The sequence below is a fragment of the Homo sapiens genome, chromosome 1, assembly GCF_000001405.40.
Source record: "Homo sapiens chromosome 1, GRCh38.p14 Primary Assembly".
Classification (NCBI taxonomy): domain Eukaryota; kingdom Metazoa; phylum Chordata; class Mammalia; order Primates; family Hominidae; genus Homo; species Homo sapiens.
In genome coordinates this window covers 242,291,983-242,304,181 of record NC_000001.11, presented here as the reverse complement: position 1 = coordinate 242,304,181, position 12,199 = coordinate 242,291,983, and the positions used below count along the sequence as shown (strand labels likewise).

Below are 12,199 nucleotides of genomic sequence, written 5' to 3'. Positions count from 1 at the left end.
AATGGCAGCTTTAATGGTATACAACTTTTCTAAGCAAGAAGTTATGCTATTCCTTTGAGGAATCTTTCCCAGATCTGGTTTCTTGCAAGGTTTTGAGGAGTCTTATTGAGGCACAGAAAATTTACCCCAGATAAGCATCAGACTTGAAAGTAGCCATCAGTCAGCTTCTCATTTAGCTGGTGTCGGTGGGGTACATGTCAATTTGACAGAGCCCATGGTGGGCAAAAAAGAATTTGCAAATAATGGGATTTATTAATGCAGCCTCAACTTATGAAAATTACTGAGATTCAAGACACTAGAGGAAAGGGAAAAATCACATATAATCGCCCTCTCGTGGAAAAGCACTTGACATCATCCTTGAACAATGATAGAGCAGAGTTTAATTGCTTTGTAGTTACTGGGTAAGATCTGGTGTCAAGGACTTGAGTCTGCTCTACTATCTTTTTCCTGGCTCTTCGTTTGGAAACAAATACTAGCAATAATTGATGATAAGTCCTCAGTTCCTAAGAATGTCACTGTGCTTTAATTTGAAGAGGCAACTTGAATCCAAAAATGTGCTTGAGTCAAGCATTTATTTTAAAATAAATAAATCCAAGGATAAATCCTGAACCTACAGATGGACCAACCTCCTGTGTCTTCTACCAAGTACAGTTCGGAGGCCCTAAGGCAAACTCGGATGTCATAATTTCAGTTTTAGAAAATAGCATTTATACATTTTAGAAATACTTTTAATGTGGGTTGAAATAAAAATGATTCTCTAGATAAGTCTGGCTTAATTAGAAAATGTAATGAGCTCCATTTCCTAGTTTGCCTCCAAGTTGTAACTTCAATTTCATCTTGTGGGCAGTCTCAATTGTTAGTAGCTGCTTGAAGCAATGGGCTGAGAGAGACGGCGAGGCCAAGGGCAGGCTCAGGAAAGAACAGTGTGATTGACTATCATTGCCAGCATTGGGCGTGTGAGTCAGGAGAGTCAGCATGTATTTGCTATTTTGGCTATAACTTTTCTATCAACTCAGGAAGAGAACTGGAATTCTTGAGCTAATGAACAATGCCTCCCTCATGATCATTTTCTGAAACTTATGTTGTCCATTGCAATTGTTCATCACAGATTCTGGTGTGTCAGGATGGCCGAGCGGTCTAAGGCGCTGAGTTCATCACAGATTCTGATATTCGGTCCCCTACTCCATCAAAATATCCAGGAGAATTTCATATATAAGAATCCCAACCCATGTCCAGACTCTACTTTTGGGGTCTCTGAGATGGCTTAATAAATAGTGTAAGGGGGTAAAAATTTCCCTTTACCCTTCTAAATTCTGGGCTGAGATCACCTGCTCCAAAAGGCAGATTAAGAAGAAGAAAAAACAAACAGAAGCTTACATGTACATTTCATATGTATTTGGGAGATACCCAGAGAATGAGCAAATCTCTCTCATTTTTGAAGTTTAATTTAAAAAAATTTTTTACAGGCAGAGTCTTGCTCTGTTGCCCAGGCTAGAGTGCAGTGGCACGATCATAGTTCACTGTAACCTCAAATTCCTGGGTTCAAGCAATCCTCCTGCCTCAGCCTCCTGAGTAGTTAGGACTACAGGCACATGCTACCATACCTGGCTAATGTTTAAAGTTTTTTGGTAGAGACAGGTCTTGCTGTGTTGACCAGGCTGGTCTTACTCTCCTGGCCTCAAGCAGTCCTCTTGCCTCAGCCTCCAAAAATGCTTGGATTACAGGTGTGAGCCACCATGCCCAGCTGAGAATGAGCAATTCTCAAAAAGGTGACTTCTAACTCTGGCTTACATAGCATCTTCAGTAAATAACAATACATTTTTGGAGAGGTGACGAGACAAAGGAAAAAGACCTAGAGTCTGTAGAGGCAACCAATCATGGGAACGCAAATGCAGTCATACATCACTTAATAATGGGTATCTGTTCTGACAAATGCATCATTAGCATAGCCTACTACACACCTAGGCTATATGATAGAGACTGTTGCTCCTGGGCTACGAACCTGCACAGCATGTTACTGTCCTGAATACTACAGGCAATTTTAACACAATGGTAAGTATTTGTGTACCCAAATGTATCTAAACCTAGGGAAGGTACTGTTGGCTGGGTGCAGTGGCTTACGCCTGTAATCCCAGCACTTTGGGAGACCAAGGTGGGCGGATCACCTGAGGTCAAGAGTTTGAGACCAGCCTGGCCAGCATGGTGAAACCCTGTCTCTACTACAAATACAAAAATAATTAGCCGGGTGTGGTGGCAGGCCCTAGTAATCCCAGCTACTCGGGAGGCTGAAGCAGGTGAGTTGCTTGAACCCGGGAGGTGGAGGTTGCAGTGAGCCAAGATCTCACCATTGCACTCCAGCCTGGGTGGCAAGAGCCAAGATTCTGTCTCTAATAATAATAATAATAATAATAATAATGTTTTAAAAAATAAAAATAAACCTACGGAAGGGTCTGTAAAAACACAGTGTTACAACTGTTGCAGTCTTATGGGACCATCATCATATATGTGATCCGTTAACCAAAATGCGTGACTATATAAGAAACTAATGACAGATAAACGCTAGTTAATTAAGGTTGTTATGTAGATTCCTCTGGGGTTGGTCTCCAGGCTGATAAGGGTCTAAAGTTGTCTCTGGTGTTGAACATTGTCCTTCCTGGTAGAGAGGGGAGGAAGACACTTTTGTAAACTCATGTCCTGCTTTTAGGCAAATGGGGGAGACAGAGATATTTCCCTGTGTTTTCTTCTCTATTGCCTTCAGCTCAAAATAATCCTTTTGCCAAAGTGGCATATTTTCAGGTGGCATATTCTGCTCCCCTTCAAAGCCATCCTTCTTCCTGAACAGATTGACAATTCTGACAAGGAGTAGCAGATGCAGGCCAAATGATCGCCTTAATGACAAAGGCTAAATTGGAAGATGTAGCTTAATGTGAGATCCAAACATCTTCCTCACTGAACCCCAGAACTAGGTAGGCTTATCACCCAGGCACAGCCAGTGCTAGACTAGGGCACATCTGGACATGAAGGGGCTTGTCCAGGCAAGACTTGAGGCATGGGTGTTGAGGGTGGGATAGGTCTCCCAAGAAGAAGCAAGGGACCAAGCTGATAACTCTTCCTCAGTCTCACAATCAGCTCATTCATTCCTCCTCCTAGGGCAGTGTGAGTAAAGGTTTGGAGAAAGATGAAAGGCAAGCTCGCGTGACATCACACAAGCATCCTTGAACCTGGAAGACGGCATTAGGAATGGGGCAGATGAATTTCCCTCAAGGGTGCCCATATTTCTATCTGCCTTACCTTAAAAATGTATTCCATATCTCTCCACTTTTCCCCATCCCCAGCATTCACACGGTGGTTCAAGCTGCCACCGCCCTTCGCCGAGGCTCCATGCTATCGCAGCGGTCTTCTAATTGTTCTCCCGCTGCAACCCTTGTCCCGCTGCAACCCATTTCTGACAAACATCAGGGGTCATCCTCGTGGAGGGTAAATCAGATCATGTTCCACCCCTGTCCAATCCACTGTGTCTTTTCATCACACAGTATAAACCACAACCTCACACCGTGTCCAATAGCCCTGTGTAATTTAACTCTTCACCAACCCCTTTGCCGTCCCCCCAACTCTGCCCCACCTCACTCCCTAGATTTAACCACATTGGCCTCCCTGATGTTCTTCCAACACTCCAACCTCATTTCTGCCTTGATTTCTTCTTCTTTCTTTCTTTCTTTCTTTCTTTCTTCTTCCTCCTCCTCCTCTCCCGCCACCCCACCCCAGGCTGGAGTGCAATGGTATGATCTCGGCTCACTGTAACCTCTGCCTCCCAGGTTCAAATGATTCTTCTGTCTCAGCCTCCTAAGTAGCTGGGATTACTGGTGCCCGCAACCATGCCCAGCTAATTTTTTTTTTGTATTTTCAGTAGAGACAGGGTTTCACCATGTTGACCAGGCTGGTTTCAAACTCCTGACCTCAGGTGATCCACCCGCCTTGGCCTCCCAAAGTGCTGGGATTATAGGAGTGAGCCACTATGCCTGGCTGATATCTTCTTGGTTGATGTTCCTTTCTGTTCTGAGCACTCTGCTCACAAATTCTTTGCATCTCATCTCAATGTTACAGCTTCAGCAGGGGCTTTCCTGGCTGGCATTCTAAAGAAGCAACCTTTTCCTTAATGTCTGTCATTTCATCCTACTTACTTCTCACACCTGCCATCTTTTTATCTGTGTGTTTACTTATGTATTCGTTGTTTCCTCCCCCAGGGCAAATAAGCCCCATGAAAACAGGGGTTTTGCCTGGGTGCCTTTCAGCACTTGGAGAGCTCATCATGGATTTGGCATTCCATAAATATCAATTTACAGGGTATAAATACATGACCCCAAAATCATCAGACAGATTATGTCCTGAATTTTAATGCAGAGAATACAGTTGAAGTAATGATTATGTCTTTTGTAAAAAACAAAAACAATCAAACATAACCTGGCAGTGAGAGAATACGTCCTAACAGAAAGCAACTCTGCTAGCGAATCTGGAATTCACTGTCATGGACCTCATGCCCCAGGACATTCATGACTTGGGGGGAAAAACACCCAGAATTTGGTCCCTCTGCCTGGATATTTTGTTTTGAAACTTGGAAGAGGCAATGGAGTGTTGTGATTAAGACGATACACTCTACAGTCATATTGCTGGGCTTAAATCTGGGCTTCATCACTCACTAGCTGTGTGCCCCTGGGCAAGTTACTTAAGTTCCTTGTGTCTCAGTTTCTTATCCTCAATAAATGCTCATTGGAAGTAATAGGAGTATAATGGCTACAAAAAATAGAATGAATAAGATCTATTTGATAGCACAACAGGGTGACTATAGTTAATAATAGCTTAATTGTATATTTTATAATTACTTAAAGAGTGTAACTGCATTATTTGTAACTCAAAGGATAAATGCTTGAGGGCATGGATGCTCCATTCTCCATGATGTGCTCATTTCACATCGCATGCCTGTATCAATACATCTCATATACCACATAAATGGATACTCCTATCTACCTACAAAAATTTAAAAAATTAAAATATTAAAAAAAATTTTTTAATGTAATAGAGGTAATAATATAATTACATTTTGCTAGCTGTTGGAGGGTAGTAACTGCCTTATAAGTTGTAACCACTTTTTTTTTTTTCCAATCACCTGTCTTTCTACTGTGTTAGCTCTTTGGGGACAGTGTCAAGATCTTTCTATTAATGAGGTCCCTGCTCCTTTGCCACATCTTATATTAGTGAAATATCAACAGGTAGGTGCATTACGTTCCACCGTTTTCCTCTTTTGTCTTCATCCTCCTCAAGTTTCTTTCTGATTGTTCCTTTCTGGGTCAGTAGTTAGAAATATTAAGCCAGTTAAAAGTGTGCCCTTCTGTCACCACAGTTTTCCTGGTCAGTAAGATTGGCAGAGTGGCTTATAGAATAAGGAGGGGGCTCCTTGCTAGAATAAGGTAAGAGAGCTGCCACTTGCACCTTCCCCCCTTCTCCAGACAGGATAAGCATCTCAGTCCAAGCTGATCTTCCCCTCTAAGACAGTAGCCTCTGCTTTCAAAATCACTCTGCTTAGTTCCTCTGTCGACCCAAAGTGTGCTTGTAGCATACCCTCTAAGATAAGACAAAGGCCAAATCTAGCTTTGTCAAACACACAAGCTCAGACAAAAACCTGAATTAAAATCCCAGCTCAGTGGCATTCTCTCTAGCTAGATGACCCCTGGCCGCTGGGAGCCCTGCTCTCTTCATCTCTCAAACTAAGATCCTCCCTATCTTGCAGGGTTGTTGTTGACGATGCTATGTAATAATATCTGCAGAAGTACTTTTAAAACTGTAAGCAACAAATAATAGCTACCATTATACTTCCTCCACTGCCATACTGTCTCGCTCCGAAAACAAACCATAGTTGTTCTTCACATATACAATTATAGACCTGGAAATAATGAGGCGTTCATCTGCCTGAATCATCTAGAATTATAGAAACAGCAATCTGCTACCACCAACTCAAACTCACTATCATGTCCTCTGCAGCTAATTGTCTTTGACAATCAATTTAAAAGCTAATAAAAAGGAAACATCTGGTGACAAAAAATAAAGTATTAAAAATGGAAAGAAATACATCAAAAGGACACAGAATACAACTTACAGGGGCTCCCATTGGCAATATATGCAACAATTTGAATAATGAATGATGACAGTAATCGGTTATAAAACTTTGAATTAAGAAACATGAATCCGGGCCGGGCGCGGTGGCTCACGCCTGTAATCCCAGCACTTTGGGAGGCCGAGGCGGGTGGATCATGAGGTCAGGAGATCGAGACCATCCTGGCTAACAAGGTGAAACCCCGTCTCTACTAAAAATACAAAAAATTAGCCGGGCGCGGTGGCGGGCGCCTGTAGTCCCAGCTACTCGGGAGGCTGAGGCAGGAGAATGGCGTGAACCCGGGAGGCGGAGCTTGCAGTGAGCCGAGATTGCGCCACTGCAGTCCGCAGTCCGGCCTGGGCGACAGAGCGAGACTCCATCTCAAAAAAAAAAAAAAAAAAAAAAAAAAAAAGAAACATGAATCCATACTAATTAAACATTTTTTAATATAAAAGTGATGGTTAGCTGGATGTGATGGTGCATGCCTGTACTCCCAGCTACTCAGGGGTACTAAGGCAGAAGGATCACTTGAACCCAGGAGTTCAAGGCTGCAGTGAGCCACTGATCACTCTGTTCTCTAGCCTGGATGACAGAGCAAGACCCTGCCTTAAAAAAAAAAAAAAAAAAAAAGTCTTGAAGGGTGATAGGAAAAGGGGGGAAGCTTTCCTTTTTTTTTTTTTTTTTTTTTTTGAGAAGGAGTCTCACTCTGTCACCCGGGCTGGAGTGCAGTGTCACGCTCTTGGCTCACTGCAACCTCGGCCTTCAGAGTTCAAGCAATTTTCCTGCCTCAGCCTCCTGAATAGCTGGGACTACAGGCACATGCCACCATGCCCAGCTAATTTTTGTATTTTTAGTAGAGATGGGTTTTCACCATGTTGGCCAGGATGGTCTCGATCTCTTGACCTCATGATCTGCTTGCCTTGGCCTCCCAAAGTGCTGAGATTACAGGCATGAGCCACCATGCCCAGCCAGGGGGAAGTTTTTCTTTGTGGAAGAATGCCAACTAACAAATAATAGAATGGTCAGAGCAGAGTAGTGTGTGCCTGTAATCCCAGCACTTTGGAAGGATTGCTTGATGCCAGGTGCACAAGACTAGCCTGGGCAACATAGTGAGATTTCATCTCTACAACAGTAAATAAATAAATAATTAGCTGGGCCTAGTGGCGTACACCTGTAGTCCCAGCTACTCAGGAGGCTGTAAGGCAGGAAGGTCACTTGAGCCAAGAAATTTGAGGCTGCAGTGTGCTATGATCATGCCTGTGAATAGCTACTGCACTTCAGCCTGAACAACATAGCAAGACCCCATCTCTAAAAAAAAAATAATCAGCATACTGTTAGCCAGCCAGCTCTTGCTGGTATTCTTTCTGCTATTTTTCACAAGTAAATTCACTCTGATCCAAAGTCTTGGGGAAAAAGTGAAATATACATCTCAGCTGAAATAAAGCAAGGTCCCTAGGTCTGTATCAACTATTTCCATGTCTAGAGGTGGTCAGTGAATCTGCCACATAGGTAGCGAGTCACCTTCTAAGTCAGAAATTCCAGTATCTCTTTGGGAAGGTTAGCCTTTGTCTTGTTGATCCTATGCTTTTAATTGTAGCCATATGATCTCAAAAGCAAATGTAACAAAACCAAAAATAGACTAATGGCAATTAATTAAACTAAAGAGCTTTTGTCCAGCAAAAGAAACAATCAGCAGCATAAACAGGAAATCTACAGAATGGGAGAAAATATTTGCAAATTATGCCTTGACAAAGGACTAATATCCAGAATTTATAAGGAACTTAAACCAACAAGAAAAAAGTGGTCAAAGTACGTGAACAGACACTTTTCAAAAGGAGACATATCAGCAACCAACATAAGAAAAATGCCCAACATCATGGTAAACATGGGTTTACTATGAAGCAGGCATTGAGCACAGCATGTCACTGAGATTCCCTCCGTTAATCTTTGTAATAACCTTTTTTCTGCTCAGAAGCGGGAACAGATTGAAAGAGGTTAGTAATCTGTTGAAGGTCACACAGCTCATAACTGGCAGAGCTGTGTTTTGTCTACATTAGTTCAAACCCTTTCGTTTTGAATTGTTCTCTACATAATGCCAAAATCAAGTATGAAAGTATCATATTTTATAAAAATATACATTTCTAATTATCAGAGAAACGCAAACTAAAACCACAATGCGATACCATTTCACACCAGTCAGAATGGCTATTATTAAAAAGTCAAAAAATAGCAGAAGTTGGCATGGATGTAGAGAAAAGGAAATGCTTACACGCTGTTGGTGGGAATGTAGAGTAGTTCAACCCCTACAGAAAACAGCATGGAAATTTCTCAGCAAACTAAAAATAGAATTACTATTTGACCCAGCAATTCCATCACTGGGTATCTACCCAAAGGGAAAAAGTTATTTTATCAAACGGACACTTGCACTTGTATGTTTATCTCACCACTATTCACAATAGCAAAGTCATGGAATCAACCTAAGTATCTATCAGTGGTACACTGGATAAAGAAAATGTGGTATGTATACACCATGCAATACTACAAAGCCATAAAAAAGAGTGAAATCATGTCCTTTGCACCAATGTGGATACAGCTGGAGGCCATTATCCTAGGTGAAATAACTCAGAAACAGAAAATTGAATACTGCATGTTCTCACTTACACGTGAGAGCTAAACAATGGGTATCCAAGGCAAGGACATACGGATGGAAATAATAGACACTGGAGACCCCAAAAGGGAGGAGAGGAGAAGAGGGGGACGGATTGATAAACTACCTGTTGGGTAGTATGTTCGCTGTTTGGGTGATGAGATCACTAGAAGCCCGAACCCCAGCATTATGAGGTATACCCATGCAAGAAACCTGCGTGTGTACCCCTGAATCTATAATTAAAATTTTAGCCATATGACCACAGTAAGGGTAAAAAAACCCCATCACTTGACTTTGAGTGTGAACCTGACTGTATTGATGAGCCGAGATCATCTGTTCCCCTTCATTAATGTGACCAGAAAATCAAGATCTAAAGAATGAATGTCGGTGCATTGACTGCCATGCACCTTTTTAAGGTCAGGTCCTGATAACTGATCCAGTGCATTAGGCAACAAAAGAAAGCTCACAGTCACTTTGAAAATGTCGTGTAGGCACCAGTTTCTAAGGCTCCTTTTAGCCAGTATATGTAGAAGCATTTTAGTAACTGTGCTTTATGAGTTTGAAAACTTGGAGACATTTTTTTCAATTATAAGTCTTCAGACTAAGTTACTTTAAAAAATGTCTTTCATTTAGCATTTACTAGGAAGCAGGCAATGAGCACAGCGTGTCACTGAGATTCCCTCCTCTAATCTTTGTAATAACCTTTTTTCTGCTCAGAAGTGGGAACAGATTGAAAGAGGTTAGTAATTTGTTGAAGGTCACACAGCTCATAACTGGCAGAGCTGTGTTTTGTCTACTTTATTACAAACCCTTTTAAACTGTTCTCTACAATAATGCCAAAATCAAGTATGAAGGTATCATATTTTATAAAGATTCTTCTGTTTACCAAAACACATACACACACAGCACTTAAAGCTGCCAAATACATGGACTTCATTTTTTAGTAGCTTATTAAAGGGAAACTACAAATAGTTCTTTGAGAAGGTACAATATTGTTCCTGGATGGAAAGTGAAATTTGGATGATCACATTAAGTTTGGAGAATAAATACATGCTATTAATAAGAACAGTTCGAATTCTATTTAAAATTCTATTAACAATGTAAAAAGCTTTTTCTTGTATTTATTCCACCTAAGCTCCCTGGACTCACAGTTTACCTTAAACTATCAAGAAAAGAAGTATAAAAATATTTTTGTTGTATTGCATTCCTATATATCCAGTTTTCCCCTAGTTATCAGGTGTCAGAAATAGTGCTATACAGCCTCTAGGTAGAGTTCTCTTGTGGATGGCAAATAGGTATTCCAGGGATTTGCCCAAAGGTGAATTTCAATGAGATCTGCCTACTTCTTTCTTACCTTGAGAAGTATGAGTATACTCAGGGCTGTGATGGCATGTAAATGAGTTCTGCTTCTATGCTAATTAGATCAGGCCTCTGGAGAGTAGCCAGCTGTTGGTTTTTAAAAGAAATAAAACTATAGGTCACAGAAATAAGTCATTTCAAAGCTGGTTTTTAGAGACCTTTTCTAGCATAAGAAACAGCCATGCGTCCCAGAAGGAGCAATCAACATGTCTGGGTAAAGAAAGAGGAGGAGAGTGAGCAGGTAAATAGGATCATTATTTCCAAGCTTTTCCCTGGAATTCATTACCTGCACAAAGTGTAGTCTCCAGACCTTGAGTGCTGCCTCTATTTTTATTTTACTATAAATTCATAGTTTATATTGATATTTAGTAAAAACCAAATAACGGTAATACAGTAGTCCCTACTTATCCTCAGAGGATGTGTTCTAAGACCCCCAGTGGGCGTGGGAAGCATTGGATACTATGGAACTCTACAAGGTACTATATTTTTTCCTATTCATATCTACCTGTGACAATGTTTAATCTATAAAATAGGTACAGTAAGAAACTAACAACAATAAAACAGAATGCTTATAACAGTATACTATAATAAAAGTTATGTGAACGTGGTCTCTCGCTCCAAAATAACATATTGAATGTAATATTTTCAGACCTTGCTGGACTGTAACTGAAACTGTAGAAAGTGAAACTGTAGAAACTGTAGAAAGGGTAAGGAAGACTACTGTCATAAACTCGGTCTTCCTTGGCTCCCAGGGAATTTCACTCTCCTCCTCCTCCAATATCTCCAGTACTTTCTTCTTTGTCATCTTCTCTTGCTTCACTTTCTCTACCAACCAGGATTGATTAGATGTTTTCCACATTTGGCTTTGACTCTATTCTCTTTTTTAAAGAAATCTCTCTTGATCATCTTACCCACTTCTAAAGCGTCAATCACTAAGGAAAATAAAATCTTATAAGAATGTGTTTGTAATCAAAGAAAAGGGAAGAGATGTTAACATTATCCATCTGATGAGGGCTTCTTACCCCTTTTTTAGCCATGGACCCCTTTGACAGTCGATGAAACCTATGCATTATTCCCTGAATCATGTTTTTAAATTCATGATTTAAAATACAGAGGATTGCAAAGGAAACTGAAAGTGTTAAAGTGAGCAGAATATTTTTAGAAATACATTTATAATAAGCTCATGTGTATCCTGCAGTACATATTCACAAAATGACAAGATCCGGTCACTACCACACTTTCAAAGTAGTGAGAAGGACTTGGAAATGTTGTCTATAACCATACCACAGGAGGAAAATTTTTAGTGGAGACAAAATTGCAGGTTTCATTAATGTTCTTATGGTTTGTTGCCTATGTTCATAACTGAAGGGAAATTTACATTTTAGTTAGTGACTAGGGAAAATAAAGATGTAGAATTCATGTGCATAGATCCCCCTGAATTCTACCCATAGATCCAAGTTTAAGAACACCTGGTCTAAGGATTTCCAAAAAAGATTGGGAATCGTGACTTACTTGTATGCCCAAGAGAAGCCATAGGGACAGTACGAAGAAGGCGATGTTATGGAGCCATCTGTAATTGTACAATTATACTATATTCCTCCCCTCATATGTTTGGTTTATCTGGGCTTCCTGTGTCTCCTCTTGTCTTTCTCCATATACCTTTTATATCATATCAAAGCAAAATTAAAACTAGCTAGTTCTTTATTTGGTGGCAGCTGTTGTGTTTTGGCATTGTTTTGTTGGAGGGATGTTTTTGTTTGTTTATTGGATTGTTTTTTTAAATATATCCATCGGTTGTAGGGGAGGCAGAAACTACTGAGTATCTGGGATTATTTATCCGCGCTATGTCTAGCTTCTATTAACATAGATAATTGGGCTTTAAATGTGGATAGAATTAAGATATCCAACTTCAACCTCTGTCTATTGCCTTCGAAGGCCTCGAGGTACATCAAATAATCCCCTTTCCATCTTGTAACTCTCTCTCCCCTTGGCTTCCTGAACGCTGCTTCTCCTGGACCCCTCTCATCTTCCTGCTTCTCTAAAGG

General features: G+C 40.7%; 1 protein-coding gene across 9 annotated transcripts in view; it reads left to right on the top strand.

The window, feature by feature from the left end:
• Positions 1 to 12,199, top strand: part of PLD5 (phospholipase D family member 5) — a 447,561-nt gene that overhangs the window by 226,365 nt on the left and 208,997 nt on the right. The window contains exons 1-2 of one of the 9 annotated variants that reach the window (XM_047448702.1): positions 1,751 to 2,052; positions 5,185 to 5,267. The exons of 7 other annotated variants lie outside the window; for them this stretch is intronic. The gene's annotated coding sequence lies outside the window, so the exon portion shown is untranslated. Of the gene's footprint in view, positions 1 to 1,750; positions 2,053 to 5,184; positions 5,268 to 12,199 lie in introns of those variants that run through there. One more of the 9 variants, XM_047448705.1, reaches the window with a different exon arrangement.